This window comes from Homo sapiens, chromosome 3 (assembly GCF_000001405.40).
Source record: "Homo sapiens chromosome 3, GRCh38.p14 Primary Assembly".
Lineage (NCBI taxonomy): Eukaryota > Metazoa > Chordata > Mammalia > Primates > Hominidae > Homo > Homo sapiens.
In genome coordinates, this window is record NC_000003.12 from 119,187,731 (window position 1) to 119,207,410 (window position 19,680).

At 42.3% G+C, this 19,680-nt stretch overlaps 1 protein-coding gene across 1 annotated transcript in view, besides 2 other annotated features; it reads left to right on the forward strand.

The window, feature by feature from the left end:
* The window catches only part of UPK1B (uroplakin 1B), a 31,546-nt gene extending 14,133 nt beyond the window's left edge, over positions 1 to 17,413 (forward strand). The window contains exons 3-8 of the mRNA NM_006952.4: positions 45 to 245; positions 2,515 to 2,589; positions 3,252 to 3,374; positions 6,489 to 6,668; positions 11,327 to 11,410; positions 16,187 to 17,413. Of these exons, the coding sequence (NP_008883.2) occupies positions 45 to 245; positions 2,515 to 2,589; positions 3,252 to 3,374; positions 6,489 to 6,668; positions 11,327 to 11,410; positions 16,187 to 16,237 (714 nt within the window). The 3' untranslated portion in view covers positions 16,238 to 17,413. The remainder of the gene's footprint in view (positions 1 to 44; positions 246 to 2,514; positions 2,590 to 3,251; positions 3,375 to 6,488; positions 6,669 to 11,326; positions 11,411 to 16,186) is intronic.
* Positions 18,617 to 19,143: an enhancer, noted in NCBI's record as "H3K27ac-H3K4me1 hESC enhancer chr3:118925194-118925720 (GRCh37/hg19 assembly coordinates)". NCBI's record gives its function as "activates a minimal SCP1, AML or CMV promoter by ChIP-STARR-seq in primed H9 embryonic stem cells {active_cell/tissue: H9 hESC(primed)}" and the evidence as "EXISTENCE:reporter gene assay evidence [ECO:0000049][PMID:30033119]".
* Positions 19,144 to 19,668: an enhancer, noted in NCBI's record as "H3K27ac-H3K4me1 hESC enhancer chr3:118925721-118926245 (GRCh37/hg19 assembly coordinates)". NCBI's record gives its function as "activates a minimal SCP1, AML or CMV promoter by ChIP-STARR-seq in primed H9 embryonic stem cells {active_cell/tissue: H9 hESC(primed)}" and the evidence as "EXISTENCE:reporter gene assay evidence [ECO:0000049][PMID:30033119]".

Genomic DNA, 19,680 nt, shown 5'->3' on the forward strand with positions numbered 1-19,680 from the left:
CAAAGCTGCACTCCTGATGGAGCCCACCTTTCATTTGCCCCCAGTGTTGCGGCATTGCCCTGACTGCGGAGTGCATCTTCTTTGTATCTGACCAACACAGCCTCTACCCACTGCTTGAAGCCACCGACAACGATGACATCTATGGGGCTGCCTGGATCGGCATATTTGTGGGCATCTGCCTCTTCTGCCTGTCTGTTCTAGGCATTGTAGGCATCATGAAGTCCAGCAGGAAAATTCTTCTGGCGGTAAGACCTCAAAATTCTCTGGAGTTGTCTCCCTGAGCCAATTGTAATGGATTCTTTCTTCTTCACTGAGCAATGCTTTGGCTTTCAGTGGGGGAGCAGGAAGTACCAGATAAGGGGTGAGGAGGGGAAGACTTTCCCTGCAGTGAAATGGTCCACATGGAGGCAAAGATGCCCTCCACTATTGCAAGCCCAGAAGGCTCCAGTACAGAGAAGCCAAAGGGGAGACACCTGGGGGTGACCTAATGAGTATTTTCCATATTGTGCCTCTACAGCTGGTGTCTGCATACACCCAGTAGGTACAGCTAGGAGCTATATAGGCCAAAGGAGAGACACAGTGAGAATTCATTCATTAGATTTTTTTCTCTTGGCAATAACTTGTTTAAAACATTTTGATATTAATTAGGCATTAATATATTAGGATATAAAATATAAAATATGCATACATTTTTAAAAGAAAGTATAAGCTTTCAAAGATTTTTGAGCTCAAGGTTGATGATTCTGTATCATAGCCTATACTCCCCACATTATCATCCAATCTGCTTTTCAGGGACCCCAGAAAACCTTGATAAGCACCACTGTAGAGTGAGCCTTCAGCTCACACCTGCCTGTGGGGGCTTTAACTCTGTACATCAAGGAGAGGCTTCTGCCCCAAACCATAGACAGCAAGACCATGCCCTGCCTTTGCAGATGAAAGCAAATTTGCAGGCAGCAGAGCTGAGAAACCTGTTTCAGACGTGGACCCCTACTGTCTGCCCTAATACTTAGGGCAGCAGTTTCACACTATTATGGAACACGCCTCCAATCCCCCACCCCTGAAATAACCCTTTTATTCAAATGCTGCAGGACCTCAGTTCCCCCTTTATAGAATGAGTCCAGCAATGTAAGGTGCTTGTTAGTTTACTCTTCCTTTTAACTAACCACTGTCCTGGTTCCAATGGATTACAGAACATTTACATTCTCTGGTTCCTTAGTGTGCGTAAGTTCCAGGGCAAAAGTACCCACTTTTGGTGGGTGGGGAAAGGAATACAGGAAAAAGGGAGAGGAGACACAGGTGTTCCTAAAGACAAATTCACTTGCATCCCAGCCTCACTTTGGGCCAGCCATGTGCATGCCTGACAACCAGGAGAACTGAGCTGGGGAGGCAAAGGGGCTAAAGGAGGAAACACCTCACTGCATACCTCCTTTCTGGAGCGTCTTTACCAGGAGCCAGCAAAGCTCTTGGCAAGGAGCAAGGCAGCAGCTAACACAGGAAAAAAATGTTCTGGGGCCTCTGAAGGTGCTCCTGCTGTTGACTGTAGCCAGAGCTTTATTCTGGGCTGAGTAGTGAGGGCAACAGAGGGTCCTGCTCGGAGAGCCTCCCATACCCAAAGAGGAGGACAGTTTTCCCTGCCTACCCTGCTGACACTGACCACAGTGCCCCTTCTCCCAAGAGTGTGTGCAAGCCTGGGGAAGGCAAAGCTGGAACTCTTGCAAACAGTCCCCATCCCAGATTCAGAGGTCATTTGCTGTTCGGATATTTTCCAGCCAGAAATAGCATCACTGTCATGTGGAGGTATCATGTGCACACGCACCCATGTGCCCATGCTCACGCACACACACCACCACTACCACACACAGCAAATGCCATTTCACTCAACTGAACCAATGTACTTTGAGTGTGGGTGCGTGTGAAAGAACACCCACAAATGCTGTGCACTTGAAGCCTGCCTCTCCTCTGATGAGACTGGATGCTTGTTAGGAAGGACCCTAGATGTTCAACATTATCCAGTTCATCTTTTTCTGAACTCCGTGATTCTAAATTTTCAGCAAATTGTAAAGAAAATTTCTCCAAAATTCCAAAATTAAAGGGGATTTATGAGGCCCTATACTGTATGTGATACACTAAGACTCTCTTGCCACTCACTGAGCATGCACATGCATGTAAATGCACACATGTAAATGAGCATGTAAATGCTCACATGTGTGTGTGCACACATACACACCAGTTCATTCTCTTGTACTTGTTTTTCCCAGTTAAAATAGAAACTCAGGAAACTGGACTGAGGAAGGTCTGTATTCAATGGCTATTTGTTCTCTGGAGAAAAGGAGAGAATTGAGCTGACTAGCACCAAGCCTCAATCCAAGCCACTGGTCAATGAGGGTTTGTTGAATAACTACATGAGTGATTACATGATTATATGATAAATTTGCTGAAAAAACATAATTATTTGGGCAAGTCGCTCTTTGACGGGTAAATGTAATTCTTTTATCTCATTTATTTCCCTTCCAGTATTTCATTCTGATGTTTATAGTATATGCCTTTGAAGTGGCATCTTGTATCACAGCAGCAACACAACAAGACTTTGTGAGTACAACCTCAAAAAGCAAAATAATATGAATTATCATTATTATAACAACCAACATGTATTAACCCCTTACTATGTGCCCAGGCAATCCAATATGCACAGTAATAATACATCTATCATTTTACTTAATCCTCATAAATCTATGAAATAGGCATTATCACTCTGGTCATTTGAGAAAGGAAAAAAAATGAGACAGAAAGGTAAAATGACTTGTCTAAAGTGACATAGTTGGCAACTGAAAGAGCAAGAATTCTGAACCCAGATGGCCTGACTCCCAGGGCCCAAGTTTGTAATCCCCTGTGGGTTTCACCACTCTGCCATGGCCATGGGCCTTCCAATGGGAGGATCTCTGTTCTACCTCAGCTAAGACGTGCTCTCAATTCTACATCTTTCTTTCTCTCCCATTCTCTGTTTTCCTAGCCTAAGCCACCCTACAGTATGTGTTCCCCTGGCCTCATAGTGATTTCTTTTAAGATGAGAGTCTCTTCTCTGCATGGGGACTTATGCCAACCTCAGCCAGCTGTACTTGGTGCCTCTGAGTACAGTTTTGCTCCAGGAGAGAATGTTCAGTGTCCCCAGGAAAAGACAGAGAAAAATATTTTCCTCTCCTTGAAAATTAGCGTGCTATCTCTCCCTCTTGTGTTGCCTCTTCCTACTATAGTTCACACCCAACCTCTTCCTGAAGCAGATGCTAGAGAGGTACCAAAACAACAGCCCTCCAAACAATGATGACCAGTGGAAAAACAATGGAGTCACCAAAACCTGGGACAGGCTCATGCTCCAGGTAAGACCTGTGGTCTTGGGGAGATGCCATTTTTACTTACTGGTGGGAGTGGGTGTCATACACATGACTCAGTGGGACCCTATATTTTATTTCAAGCCATGATGATTAGCTTACATTTGTTGGAATGATTTTGTCAAGAAACTTAGGTTAATCATACACTCTCCCTCTTAGAACTCAGGTATCATTTACATTAAAAGAAAAATATTTTCTCTACCCCACAGTGAACTCGAGTGGTAATTACTGCCTGTTTCGCCTTTTGGGTACCTCTTCACAACTCCTGTGAGCTAGTCTTGCCAAGGACCAGGCCCTATATCTTGATTTGATCACCCAATTTTCTCCAACTGGCAATCATAGTTTATGTCCATGTTTATCTCCAGTGCCATCAAAAGTCCAAGTCTTCCAGAATATCCATCATCACCCCCACATTGCCCTCTGTATGCAAATTGTTATCCTCTACATAACTACCAATCTGACCTAGCTTTCTTACTGGCCCCTGCTCCTACTCCACACCCCACCACCAACTTTTTACAGTCTGTCATCAGCAAACTCCCTTATAGCCACCACTCCTTCTATGAACTCTTTACTATCTTTTTCTTGCTTCATTGGAAATTTGGCTATCTCCTGGGAGTGCTACCTGCCCTTCATTTTCCTCCCATATCCATGTACCATAGGACCTGGAAATTGGCTAGGTGTCCTTCTTGCTCCCCTTGGCTGCCATACTATTTGCTTCCTTGATCTACATCACCCCTTATCCTTCCTTGCCATTACTTACCAGCCTCCCTACCCTCAGTCGTTCTCCTGCCTTCATTAGGGATTTCAATATCTCACTTAACTATCTACCTCTTCAGTCATACTCCTGATATCCCACCTAGAAACTTCAGCAGCCACATGGATGACTCAGCAACATTTAGTCTCACAATTCCTTGTCCTACCCCATTCCAAAGATTTTGTCTTTCTCCCCACCTCCACCCTCTTCCATGACCATAGTCAGCATGCCATCACCAGTAACTGTGCCACTAAGAACATTCCATTCTCTGACCATTAATTTCTATCATTTCTTTCATTTATTCTAATATCTCAATTCTAATAATTTTATTCCATTAGGACCTCCAATTAATTGACCACTTTTTAACTTTTATCACCCCTTTCATGTTTTCTCTTTCCTCTTTGCCTAACCCATATTCAGGTCCAGCCCCATAGCCAGTCCTTCCCTACCCTTCTCTGTGGGTCACTCTTTCCTAACCAAGCCCACCGAGTAGAATATAGCTTTTTGCTCACTCTTCGTTTATACTCTAAGAGCTAAACATTGCTGAGAAAAGTCACACAACCATGATCATTTCAATTTAAACTTGTGACCACAGAGCTCAAATGGGCACACAATATTTCCTAGTATATTTTCCCAGAAAATTCACTTGTCACTATTTCACATGTTCTTCCTTCATGCCTGCCACACCTCTTCTCACCCTCCCTCTCAGTTGATGACCCGACCTCATATGTTTTTAAGAATATAGAAGAAATTAGACAAGAACCACCTCATCTTTCTACCACCAAATCTACATTGATATACACCTGTGCACTTTGCCTTCTCTCTTGTTATGTCACACAGGCTGTCCTTTGTCCAGCTCTTTTGATTCTGTTCTGCATTCCATCTCCTTTGCCCCAACAGTCTTCCCTGCTCTGATCTGCCTCATCAGTTTCTCCCTTTCAACAGCCTACATGGACACCTTAAATTGTCTATCTTATAAAAAGACTCCCTTGTCCAACATTCACCCACTATTCTGTCCTACTACTGTTTTGTTTTATTCCACAGCAAATCTCAGAAGAGATGCCTACACTTGTGGTCCCATTTTCATCCCTCTCATCTGCTTTCATCCAACTACAATTGGCCTCTGCCTCACCACTCAACAAAAACAACCCTGCCATAATTACCAATTACCTCCATCCTGCCAAATCCAATAGCCAAGTCTCTGTCCTCATCTTCTTTGACATCTTATCAGCATTTGTCTCACTGACTACTCCCGCTTAGTCTCCTCTGCTGGGTTGTCACTCTTTACCCAAATCTGAAGCTTGGAGTGCTACAAAGCTCAATTTTGGACCCTTAAATCTTCTCTGTGCCCACTAAATCCTAGTTTGAAATAAGCCTGGCTTAGACTTAACCATTTTTCCCAGAATGCAGAATAATTATTTTTCTTGGTTAGATATTTCCCATAACATAGTGACAAAATTGTATATCCTTTAAAGATGGTTGATTTATCATCAAGTTTACTTGAATACATTCATTCTAAAAGTTCCAAGATACCCATGGTTTTAACTTCCTCCCTTTTGAAGGATTTTAGGAGAATTGATAACAAAGAAGGAAAGCTATATGAATTGTGTTTTGTCCTCTATTCTCAATTCTATCCAGAGTGTAAGGGATGTATTAATTGGTCTCCCTCCCCTATGTGGAGACATAGCTCTGTGTCACCAGGTTATTTTTTTCACTTTATTTTCTCCCATTATAAAAATAATACCTAATTACTCTAAAAAATGTTTAAATGTATAGAAAAGCAAAACAAGAACAATTACTCATAACTTCACCACTAAAATTTTTAATTTTATGATTCTCAATTTGCTTTGATATAATCTTTAATTTTATGATTCTCAATTTGCTCTGATATATCAGAATAATTATTCCTCTCTCACATTGTTATATCAATATATTAGTACAGTATCAATCATAATTAACATTTATTAAGAGTTTACCATAAGCCAGGCACTGTATTGAGCACATTAAGTATATTAACTCATTTAATCCTTAAAAAAACTCTATGAGATAGGTACTATATTCCAATTTTACAGTTAAGGAAACTGAGGCTTAGACAGTTTAAGTAACATGTCAATGGCTACAGGGTTCACTAATGACTAGTAAAGTAGGAAGTGTAAAAATTCTTTTACAAACTGTAAAATGTAAGTTGTAAGTTATCAATACCTTCAGCTGTCATTTGGGGATTTCTTAGTAAATGTAAGATATGGTACACTTTCCGTATCTTCTTTCTCTATAAAATTTCAGTTGCTACATTGATGGCTCTAGTAGGGACCACGAAAGAGAATTTTGTATCTCTCATCTGCTGACAGGACAATTGCTGTGGCGTAAATGGTCCATCAGACTGGCAAAAATACACATCTGCCTTCCGGACTGAGAATAATGATGCTGACTATCCCTGGCCTCGTCAATGCTGTGTTATGAACAATCTTAAAGAACCTCTCAACCTGGAGGCTTGTAAACTAGGCGTGCCTGGTTTTTATCACAATCAGGTGAGTCCTCTCTCCTCCCAAGACTTCCCAGGAGGTTCTGCTGCTCTTTATGAGAAAAATATTGGTCAACTGTAGGAAATAGTCTTTCAGTAAGGAATTCTACATTCTTTTCCCTAAACCTCATGTTAACTATTTCCTTCTCTGTTAATAAACTGCAAATGCTAAACCAGGACTGATAGGGGCAAATTTACATTTTAATAAAATTAACAAAACATGAGAATTGCAATAGCAGAACCCAACTTTGTTTAAATGAAGACAATTTGCACAATGTATGGAATTGGTATGTCAAGAAATATTTACATTAAACAAAGTTTTGCTCTAGTTTTGCAAAATGTAAATTGGAAGGGATGATGTGCAAAAAGAATGTTTTGCCAATTCCAAAGCAATGACTATTGCTGAGGATAAATGTAGTAATTACACATCCACATTCCTTATTCAATGGTAAAGTAGGACAGTCTTAATAAACATTAGGTTGGTGATTTGGATGGAAGGTAGTTTACATACAGATAGTTTTTGAAAAAGTTTCCAGGCTGATGAGGATAATGTGATTACGATCATGAAAACTAACATTTATTGTGTACTTACTAAATGCCAAACACTGTTTCCAGTGCCACACATACACTATCTCCTTTAATGCTCAGTAGTAGGTGCCAGTAGGATCCCTGTTTTACAAACGAAGAACTTAGACGTAGAGATACTAATAAATACCTTGCTGAGGTCACACAACTAGTAAATGTCCGTCTTTTCAAAAAACTCTCTGGCTTTTGAAACATGAGTTTTCTGCCTTCAAGCACAGACTCTAAGCCAGTGAAGACTTGTTAATATTCCCCAAAAGCCCTGATGAGAACCTCCAGGTACTTGTAGTCAGCATCTGCTGACCCTGTACACTGAAACGCTGTGCTCTGCTCAGGGAGTTACCTCTTTAAGGAAAGCTAGTTGTGTACCAGCTCATTAAATAATTGAGAAATGTCAGGCTGTTTTGTTTGGGAGCAGTACAAACTGCATGTTCAGATTGAGGGACATGGCACTGTTGCTGACAGGGTGCCTGGACTAGAACTGGATGCATTATTCCAGAAAAGGGCATGGGAGTGTTCTAGATTATTTTGCAGCAGTGTCCAGAGCAACCCTCATTGAGCTTTACTGCAACATTGTCTGGCATTGTTTTAATCAATTATATTCAGACTGTTATTAAAAATTAAATTTGCTGCTTATAATCAAGGTGTACAATATAATTATTCTCAGGACTATAAAAGGCTTTTGATATTTCAACACTGGAACTGCTCATGCAAACAAATCTTGATTGGATTGTAATTGTGTACAAACTGTATTACCTCTTTGAAAGGGATAAAAATAGGACATTTGTCTTCAGATAACCAGTTTATTTCATAGTTATACCTTTTTTCCTAGCACATATAATATTTTAGTTATGAGGACAAACCTGAAGCTTTTCTCAAGTTTAGATAGATGAGAAATTGAGGAAAAGATACAAATGAACTATTTTCCTCTACCTTGGGACCTCCACACCCATTTTGACAATGCTTCTAACACGTTCCCTTACAGTTCCCTGGCCTCATCTGTTCTAACAATTCCACCTCCACTACCCTACAGTTCCCTGGCTTTATCTGTTCTAACAACTCCACCTCCACTACCTACCAACTACAAATTCATCATCACTCAGCCCTACTCCTCCACCAAATTCCTGAATTCTGAAATTCCTCTCTCTGTTCCTGACTTCCTGTGCTCCTTGTTTCTCAACCTCACTCATTCTGCTCCTTTGACATAATCTCTTATCTATTAGTCCTTTCTGATTCTCCCTAGCCCAGCCTCCCAGATTCCCACACACCACCATTCTCCCTGACTCATAGGTCTTGCTAAGTCCCCTCTTGCCATCCTTTTCCACCAAGAAAAAGGTGCTACCCCAAGACCTGGTATACTTTATTTCTATTATTGCATTCACTACCTGGAACTATATTTGTTCCCAAGTCTATTTTTTCTGAGTCTCCTTGAGGACTATGTATTATTTGATTCTACAGATTTGATATTTTTAGTACTTAGCATAATGCCTGGCACAAAGCAAGCACCGACGTTTGATAGATGGGTGAATAAAGAAGTGAATAGTGAATGGTTTTTCTTTTTCTTTTTTTTTTTTTTTTTTTGAGATGGAGCCTGTCTCACTCTGTCGCCAGGCTGGAGTGCAGTGGCGCTATCTCGGCTCACTGCAACCTCCACCTCCCAGGTTCAAGTGATTCTCCTGCCTCAGCCTCCCAAGTAGCTGGGACTACAGGTGCACGCAACCACACCCAGCTAATTTTTGTATTTTTAGTAGAGATGGGGTTTCACCATGTTGGCCAGGATGGTCTCGATCTCTTGACCTTGTGATCCACCCACCTCAGCCTCCCAAAGTGCTGGGATTAAAGGAGTGAGCCACCGTGCCCAGCCTGGTTTTTGTTTTGTTTTGTTTGAGAGACAGGGTCTCACTCTGTCACCCAAGCTGGAGTGCCATGCTGCAATCACAGCTTATTGCAGCCTCAAGCTCCTGGGCTCGAGTGATCCTCCTTTCCACCTCAGCCTCCCAACTAACTACAGGCATGTACCACCAGGCCTGGCTAATTTTATTTTTTGTAGAGATGAGGTCTCACTGTGTTGCCCAGGCTTCACTTTTTGACAACCATATTGTAGGTTTTCAGGATCTACAATGCACAAATGTGCTGCTATAGCTGTGAAGACTAACAAAATTAGGGAAGTCACTATAAGCTTGTTAATAGTAGAAATTAACTAGAATTTCACACAGCATGTCAGATGCAAATATATATATATTCTATGTTATGGTTTATGTGACTCAGAAATGCTATGTGCAAATTGTGATCACTATACCTCAAAAATGTTATAATAAAATGAAGGAAGATCAAGTAAAGTACCACTAAATTGACTAGCATCACGAAAAGGCACTAAATGATGGTGAAAAAAATGGGGCTTCTGTCTGTGAGCTTCATGAAGGCAAGGCCCATTTCTGTTTGCCACAGCTAAATGCCCAGCCAGTACTTGGCACCTGGCATAAGTGGGCCCTTATATATATATTATTAGATGAACGACCACCTCCCAGGATTGTTGGGAGGACCAAGGAGTAGCAGATATGGGAGTGTTTTGTGAACCATCAAGTGTGTTGCAAATTATACTATTGTAAACATTAATGTTCCATTCATTCTGTAAATGTTTATTACGTGTCTACTATGTGCCAAGCACTTGTTCTAGGTTCTAGAAATTCAACAGTGAACAACATAAAATCCCTGCCCTCATGGAGCTTGCATTCTAGCATGGGAGACAGAAAATAAACATGTTACCAAACAAATACATGATAAAATTCCAGGCCCAAATAGGCCATGAGCAGAAATAAGGCAGGGTGAGTATATAGAGTAGGATGGAGAAAGGGTCTTTTTCTCTGTCACTGTCAGGAAAGGCTTTGTTGAGATGATATTTGCAGAGGTTTGAATTAAGTGAGAAAATGAGACACCGGAAGATTGGGGAGGAAAGTTCTACAAGAAAGGAGTTGTGAGTGCAAAGGCCCTTAAGTGGGAGCAGGCCCAGCTTTTTGAAGGAGCATAAAGGAGATCAGTATGACAAAGTCAGAATGAGTGAAGGATGAGTAGATGACAAGGATGGAGCTAGATTTTTTGTGGCTGGAGTCCCCCACCCCCACCCTCACACACAAATTATAGGGAAGGATCCTTCTTAGGAAAAACAATAAAAATATGCATACAAAATTAGGCACAGGGCCTTGAAAGGGTCTTGCAAGTAAGGGGCCCTGAAGCTTAAGCTCATTCGCTTTATAGAGAAACCTCCTCTGGTAGTGGAAGATGGGGTGAGAGGCAGAGCCGCATGGTCCATGGAACCAGCCCTGGTTATTGCATTTCCTAGGCATTCCCTTTGGTTCCCAGAGCTTTGGTAGAGGCTGCTCAGATGGCAGCTCTAGCCTTACATGCGTGTATCACTCCAGAACTTTGCACAGTGACTAGGATAGAGTGCGCCATGTATAAATACTTACTGGATTGTGGCATGCATGAATGGATGATTTGGTGAATAAAAAAATTATTCCTTTGCATGCTCACTGTGACCCTTCAAGGTCTCACTAGAATCCAGTAAAGATATGTTGAAATATAACATCAAATGAGAATTCAGGGAGCATAATGCAGGAGTTCCTTTAATGATTATTAAAAATGGCAACAGGGGACCTCTGGTTTTCATGGACAGAAGCATTTTTATTCAAAAACAAACAAATCAAAAAGTAACTGCCTCCAAATAAATCACCAACGAAGCCTTTGGGGAGGGAAAAATTCTAATTGAATTAAGATTTTTGAATTTATTGTCCACATATTCAGTATAGAAAGAGGGTTATGCTAAAATAGCAGTACTTTTTAGTGAGATTAAGTGATAAAGACACAAATAAATGTGTTGTGGAATCATTGTTCAACAGTATTGTTTATGTTCCCTTAGTAAAGCACTATTAGTAGCTGGCTGTCCTCAGAGATGTGGAAATAGCCTGGATATGTGAAATCAGAATTTTGAGTAGCATTGATTCCAATAGGAACCTGCTTTCCCATCAATCTCTTCTCTGCTTTCTGGTTCTTCTCACACTAATGTGGAATTGCCCACTCCTTCAGGGCTGCTATGAACTGATCTCTGGTCCAATGAACCGACACGCCTGGGGGGTTGCCTGGTTTGGATTTGCCATTCTCTGCTGGACTGTGAGTATTTCCCAGCACATATTTTATCTGAGAGGATGATCATACGGAGAGACCTTGAGAGTGCCACTGGTTACCTCAACCACACTAGAAAGTCTAGAAACAAAACCTCAGGCCTGAAGGCTAGTCAGGAAACTTCTGGCACCGGAAGAAGGACAGTGGGTTCTCTTGAGAGGCAAGGAGTTAACTTCCCCTACCAGGGAAAGGCTGTGCCCTGCCAACCAGCTCCTTCTTCCGGCTGATGGGCAGCTGCCTTTAGAGGGCTGGAGAGCCTCTTTCCCTTGCCAGAGTTCTTAGTGAACTGCTCCTCCTGGTCTCCAGATCTCATTAATTCATTTCATCCACATATCAAAGACTGTCACCTATCTAGATGGCCCCTGCCTGATACTAATATGCCCAGATCCTTCTAAAGAGCTGCCTCTGGCAGATTCATCCTTTCCTACTGCCCACTTTATCTGACGCATATGCAGCAAGAGGTTGGAGCGGTGGTTCTCAGCCCTGGCTACACATTAAAACGCCATGGGGAAACTTTTTTTAAAAATTGCTTGGATCCCAACCTCTGAGACTTCGATTTAGTTGACCTGGGGGTTGAGCCAAGGCACTTTTATTTCCCCCAGATGATCTGCTGTCAGGGTTGACAACCATTGCCTTAGAGAAGCAGTCACAAACTTTTGATTTCAGAACCCCTTTACACTCTCAAAAATTATTGAGGACTCCAGAAAGCTTTTCTCTATGTGGCCTATATCTATTGGCATTTACCCCATTGGAAATTAACATAGAAAAATTTAAAATATTTATTTTAAAATAATAAGCCCATTAAAAGTTATCACAACACATTTTTGTGGAAAAACAACTATTTTATAATAGTGACTTTTTTGCAAATCTCTTCAATGACTAGCTAAATAGAAGACAGTTAGATTCTCATATTTGCACCTTCATTCAATCTGTTGTAATATGTTGCCTAGGTTGAATGATCTGGAGAAAATGCATCCTTCATATAGACATGTAATTAAAAAAATAGTGCTTTAATAATATTCACCCAGTAGCTGGGACCACAGGTGCACACCATTGTGCCTGGCTAATTTTTTTATTTCTTGTAGAGACAGGATCTTACTTTGTTGCCTAGGTTGGTCTTGAACTCCTGGCCTCAAGCAATCCTCCCACCCTGGCCTCCCAAAACACTGGGATTATGGCCATGAGCACTGCACCCAGCCCACAAGTAGTAGCTTCTTAAAGATCAGTTGCAATTTGGAATCTGAAATTCTGTTAATGAGCTTTTCATACTCTGTTATGTTAAAATATATTACATTGGTTTGTCTTGCACTTTGCATATATCTTTCAGCCATTTATAATTCTATAACATCATAGATTGCTTATTTGGAAAAAATATTAGTTCATTGTGTTATGCAGATCTTCCAAATGTTAACTGATTTATGTATGCAATATCCAGAAAATCACATGTGGCATTGATATTGCCACATGGAAAATACCTTAAGCAATGGAATGCTATCAAGTTCACGGTGACAACTACAAGTTTTCCAAGGTTCTGATTTTTGCTTGAAAGTTCAAATTTATCATTGGCAATGAATATTGTCAGTTGTTTTCCTTGAAGTGACAGACTCACTTTGTAAATTTTCAAGAAAATATCTGCCACATGTCCAAGTCCAAACAACCATAGCGTGTCTGTTCATCATTTTTTAAAGTAAAAGTGGTGTTTCCTTTTAATCATGCAAGTGCTTTTAAGACAACCATATTACACTATGCAACAGACTGTTTTATGAATGAATACTTCCTTTCTGTCATGCAGAATATTTAAAAAGATGTGTACTCAAAGGCCAAAATGTAATAAAATTAGTAGTTCTTACTGCTTCATTGAGGACAATCTCAAGTGAAACTGGCTTTTTAAATTTTTTTTTTTTACTGCAAGTGCGTAGCAGTGAAGACACAATGATCACTAACAAAGTTTAGTGACTCTGCCTTGATTCTTGCTAATACTCCAGGAGTTTTACTTCCCACTGCATTTACACCATCAGTGCAAATATGAAAACAGTGAAAAAGGCAAATAAATTCTCATTGTTATTCAGATAGCCTTACATAATGGACTTCTGAACTGTCCCTCAGGTGTTTACTATGTGTATTAGTCCATTTTCATAGTGCTATGAAGAAATACCCAAAACTGCATAATTTATAAAGCAAAAGAGGTTTAATAGACTTACAGTTCCACATGGCTGGGGAGGACTCACAATCATGGCAGAAGGCGAAGTAGGAGCAAAGGCATGTCTTACATGACGGCAGGCAACACAGCGTGTGCAGGGGAACTGCCCTTTATAAAGCCATCAGATCTCATGAGACTTATTCCCTATCACGAGAACGGCACAGAAAAAAACCCGGTCGCATGATTCAATTATTTCCCATCGAGTCCCTCCCATGACATGTGGGGATTATAGGAGCTACAATTCAAGATGAGATTTGAGTGGGGACACAGCTAAACCATATCACTATGCTTTAAGAAATGCTAGCTTAGGGGGTGATAAACTGAGTGAGGCAGGAAGGAGAGGGAAATCAACTCCTTCAAGGGGTCTTTTATGATCCCTCAACCCAACCTGTTAGGAGCTCTCACAACATCCTGAGCACACCTCTATGATGGAACTTCTCCATGATGATGTATTTGACTGCAAAAAGCTGAGAACTAGCTGTTCTTTGTACCCCCAGTGCCAAGCATAGCATGTAGTAAGGGCTCAAGCATTTGTTGAATGAATGAAAGGTAACAGTGAAGTTTCTATTTGTGCCATATTAGCAGGAACTGTGGGATAATGTTTAAAGGCTTTGAGTATCTTAGAACTCCAAACCAGTTGTAACCCTTGATTTTCCACAAGTATCAAATAAACTCTAGATCTAGTTAATTCCCTCTTGAAATTCAAAAGAGGGAAGGGAAGGGAAGGGAATTAAATGATTAAATGTATTGAGGGCCTGCTATAAACAAGGTACCATGTCAAATATTTTTAATATTAAATCCCCACAACAGTAGCTAAGCAGGTAGCCAGTGTCCTGTCTTACAAGGAGCAGAGAAATTCAGTGGGGCTCTCAAGAATTGTGCTTAATAAGAGCTCTTAAGCATGCCCATTTCACTGTTGCTTGCAAGGGGCTTTTTCTTAGTGATTAACTAGATAAGCTCTGAAGCTGACTGCTTGGGTTTGAATCCCACCTCCACCACCTACTAGTTCTATGACCTTGGGTAAGTTACTTCTCTGTGCCTCCGTTTCTCCATAGGGTTTTGGAAGCATTAACTTCAGTTATATGGGTAACACTTAGAATAGTGAGTGATGCATAATAAGGTATTCTAATAAACATTAGACCCTGTTATTATTTCATTATCTCATTCACTGCTCTAGCTTGGGGTAGGTAGAGATGTTATATTTATTTTATAAATGTAGAAACTGAAGCTCAGGAAATTTAAGTGACTTGGCTAAAGTTACCCAGGAGTAAGTACCAGATCTAAAACAGAGCCCAAATAAACTAAAATAAAACTCAGCCCTTGCCTAAGTCAGATATCTTGAGTTCTGTGGCATTCTTCAGAGGCAGCCATTCCAGGGCACAAGCATTTTAGGAAAAAATAGAAGTTCCCTGGGAGAAGTTTAATACTAGAAGCAAGGAATGCTTACCCCGAAATGGTACATACTAGAAACAGGAAGGCATTGGAGGATAAGTGGCCTTGATGGCAAAAAGAGTTTAGCACAGACGAGAAGGGCAACCCCAGAAGACAAGGAATCTAGGATGAGAACTGGGATCAGAACGTGGGGAACACAGAAGTTGCTTCTGAGTGGCAGGTAATAAGTGATGCTTTGGAGCAGGATGGATTTGGTGTCACATCTGGCCCAGTGATGTTGCTTATAACGAGATTACTCTTAAAAATCTGATATCTAGGCCAGGCGTGGTGGCTCACGCCTGTAATCCCAGCACTTTGGGAGGCCGAGACGGGCAAATCACGAGGTCAGGAGATCGAGACCATCCTGGCTAACACGGTGAAACCCCGTCTCTACTAAAAATACAAAAATTAGCCGGGCATGGTGGCGCGTGCCTGTAGTCCCAGCTACACAGGAGGCTGAGGCAGGAGAATGGCGTGAACCCGGGAGGCGGAGCTTGCAGTGAGTCAAGATCGCGCCACTGCACTCCAGCCTGGGCGACAGAGCGAAACTCCGTCTCAAAAAAAAAAAAAAAAAAAAAAAAAAAATCTGATATCTAACAAAGACATGGAACCAACCCAAATGCCCATCAGCAATAGACTGGATAAAGAAAATGTGGTCCATGCACACTATGGAATACTATGCAGCCATAAAAAGGAATGAGATCATGTTTTTGCAGGGACATGGATGAAGCTGGAAGTCATCATCCTCAGCAAACTAACACAGGAACAGGAAGCCAGACACTGCATGTTCCCTCTCATAAGTGGGAGTTGAACAATGAGAACACATGGACAAAGGGAGGGGAACAACACACACCAGGGCCTGCTGAGGGGTGAGGAGTGAGGAGAAGGGAACTTAGAGGATGGGTCAACAGGTGCAGCAAACCACCATGGCACACGTACATCTGTGTAACAAACCTGCACGTTCTGTACATGTATCCTGTTTTTGTTTTGGTTTTTTAGAAGAAATAAAAACAAACAAACAAAAAAATCTGTTGTCACCTAAGCCTGAATGAACCTAACATCCACTTTTTCCAAGAATGAGATGTTTCTAAAACAATCCCTTGTTTATTTTTCCTTGTTTTTTTCTATTCCAGTTTTGGGTTCTCCTGGGTACCATGTTCTACTGGAGCAGAATTGAATATTAAGCATAAAGTGTTGCCACCATACCTCCTTCCCCGAGTGACTCTGGATTTGGTGCTGGAACCAGCTCTCTCCTAATATTCCACGTTTGTGCCCCACACTAACGTGTGTGTCTTACATTGCCAAGTCAGATGGTACGGACTTCCTTTAGGATCTCAGGCTTCTGCAGTTCTCATGACTCCTACTTTTCATCCTAGTCTAGCATTCTGCAACATTTATATAGACTGTTGAAAGGAGAATTTGAAAAATGCATAATAACTACTTCCATCCCTGCTTATTTTTAATTTGGGAAAATAAATACATTCGAAGGAACCTGTGTTATCACAGTAACCCAGAGCTGTATTTGGCTAGCAATCTGCCTGTATCTCTCACTATTATCTAAAAGAAACCTTCCAATGCTTCTGTTGATCTCAGTATTGTCAGGGGAACAGAGAAGTTGGGAAAAGATTACTGAAATATACCTTTTGCATTTCTTTCTAGAGTAGCTCCCATATATGGAGATGGGTGATTCTCTTGATGCCACCTTCAGATCCTTTTATTCTCCAGAATAATTCTTAACAGTGGTTCAAATTTCCTTTCATACCTTGAAGTATGTGTTTAGTAGCCTCAATTCTCCATTAATTAAAAGTGTGGGCTGGGCGTGGGGGCTCATGCCTGTAATCCCAGCACTTTGGGAGGCCGAGGTGGGCAGATCACCTGAGGTCAGGAGTTCAAGACCAGCCTGGCCAACATGGTGAAACCCCGTCTCTACAAAAATACAAAAATTAGCCAGGCGTGATGGCAGGTGCCTGTAATCCTAGCTACTTGGCAGGCTAACGCAGGAGAATCACTTGACCGGGAGACAGAGGTTGCAGTGAGCTGAGATCGTACCTATTGCACTCCATCCTGGATGAAAGAGCCAGACTCTGTCTCAAAACAAACAAAAAAGCGTGGGGACTTCTGGGGACAGACAAGGTGCCTGTTATATATTTACTCAGTCTTTGCCCTGAATGGTCTCAGCTTGAGACCATTTCAAACTGGAGAGAAGCAAGCCAGCCAATAGAATGGGGTGATTTACAGGGATTTCTGTTTACTGTCAAAATATTTCTCATCTGCACTATGTTTCCATTTGTGGTCCTGAAGGAAATTCTTATAACTCAACATTTGTCTGGTCTTATAAGTAAAGACAGCTTTAAAATCTGTTCACTTTCATTTTTACCAATGTCATATATGAGTCTAACAAAATGGGTTTTCCAACAGAAAAGCCTAAAGCATGGGAATTAAAGTGGAGGAGGTAGAAACTGCAGACACAGGGTGTGGCTTCCTGCTGGATGCTGGCAAACGCTGCCTTACAGTTAAACGGTGGGAACTTCTACGCTCACTTTTACTTTTTGCTCCTGCTACACTTACCCCAGAAGCAGTGATGAGACTAATGCTCTTCAAATCATTTACCTCATGCAATTGAAAGCAGTGGAAACCTCGCCCATGCTAACTGCAGAACTGTGTGTCCTTCATGAAGAAAACACTTTGGCGTCCTGCTCCCAGCTGACTCAGACGCAGGCAGCACCCCCATCCCATGCCCCCACCGGGTACCTGTGAGTGAGGCTGAGCGTGGGGGTAGGGGAAAGACAAGGAGGATTGGAGGGGACTTGCCTTGGTTGTAAAGCTGGCGCAGGAGCCCGATCCCTGATTCCCAGGAGAGGGAACCAAATGTCCATGTCCTGACAGCACAGCCAGTTCACCTCTCCTTGGCCTGCCTTGTCTCTCCTGAATGAAGATCATGGGATATCGAGATAAATGACACCTGTGCTTGGCTGAGAAGGTTCTCTCTGTGGTCCTTTAGAAGACAGGAGGACAGGGAAGGAGCTTCCTCTGGGCAAAGCTTTGAAACAGCCGTGCTCTCATTTTCCTCCGCACACTCTCTCCTGTGTGTTCTGGTGCCTTTTGCCTCCACCACTCACTGGGCTTTCCAGTGCCCTCACCTCCCGACTGCCTGAGCAATTCCTGCCCCAAACCCACTCCTACTTCCCTTCCAGGGCTTCATGCTCCAAAATTCTCTCTACATACAAAATTCCCCGCCTCCCTCCCCCCCCCCCTTTTTTTTTTTTTTTTTGAGACAGAGTTTAACTCTTGTTGCCCAGGCTGGAGTGCAATGGCACGATCTCGGCTCACTGCAACCTCCACCTCCCAGGTTCAAGCGATTCTCCTGCCTCAGCCACCCAAGTAGCAAAATTCCCTTCTTATGATTAGATCTCGGCTAGGTTAGGGGAAGGCCTTTTTGGAAACCAATTCATACTAAGGAGTGGGTGACAACTCAACTCCACTCTCTCAATCTCTATGACGTTTTCTTGATAACTGAGGTTGATCTCTAGTTGGTGGAATCCAGCACAGCAGTGGGAGCATGAAAGAGCCATTGCGGGACAAGATGGCCCACCTACTATTCCTTAAATCTTATCCCCTGACTTCCTTACCAAGCAATAACTAAAAGAGAAGGGGCCGTCAGTGAGCCACTGCCCCCTGCCCCCTCTCCAGCTAGTTTCCTTCCTGCAGCCTCAGCCTCCTTTATAGAAGGTGCAAAGTCCACTATAAATGGGGGCAGGCTCTGCTCCTTCCAAAACCAAATAAGGTCCTAAACACAGGCACCCACTATGTCCTGGGGCTCCAACACTTGAGGAGGACACACCTTTCAGCTAAGACAGAAACGAGGTCTGAGGATCACCCTGCAGAGAGTCTGGCCATTCAGGACTCCTGTGCTTCCCTCTACAGGGCTCTCCTGTTTTAACCTCAGGACAGTTTCTATTCTGCCCAGTTCCTGCTCCCATGTCCCTCCACCTTCCCTGGAGGCCCAGCCTTGCCCCTCTTCCTTCTGGCTCCAGGGACTGGAAGTGGCCCCAAGCCAATGCTCAGGCAGGCCCAGGCTCAGCCCCAGCCCCAGCCCCAGCAAACCAGGGAGGCAAAGGGGAACCAGGCGGCTTGGCTCTAGGGATCTGGCAGCTTGCTGAGTGTGAGACAGGCCCAGACACAACTATCTTGTGAAACTTCCCTCTTCAACACCTGCTTATCAGGTGGGCAAAGAATAATTACTAACACCAAAAATGTGTCAGGCTAATTTGGGTAAGTTTTACTTGATTGCAACGCCAGGCGGGTCATCATGCTCTCTTGGCTGGCCATTTCCATCCCTAGATTGCTCCACAGGCTCCTGGCAGGCAAACAGTCTGTCATTTAATTTTTAAAAGCCCATTGCTCCTACTTGTCAGCCTTGTAGCTTTTCTTTCTCTACATCAGCTGGAATAAACAGGAACTGCTTCTATTTTAAACAGAAGATCAGATATTTTCTGGCTACCCATAAAAGGAATACTAGTCATGTGAACTTGAAAATCTAACCTCCTCTCAATCTCACACCCCCACCCCAACCAATCTGACAACCTGTGTTGTGGTTGAGGAATTAGAAACTAAGCTGGTTTCTCAT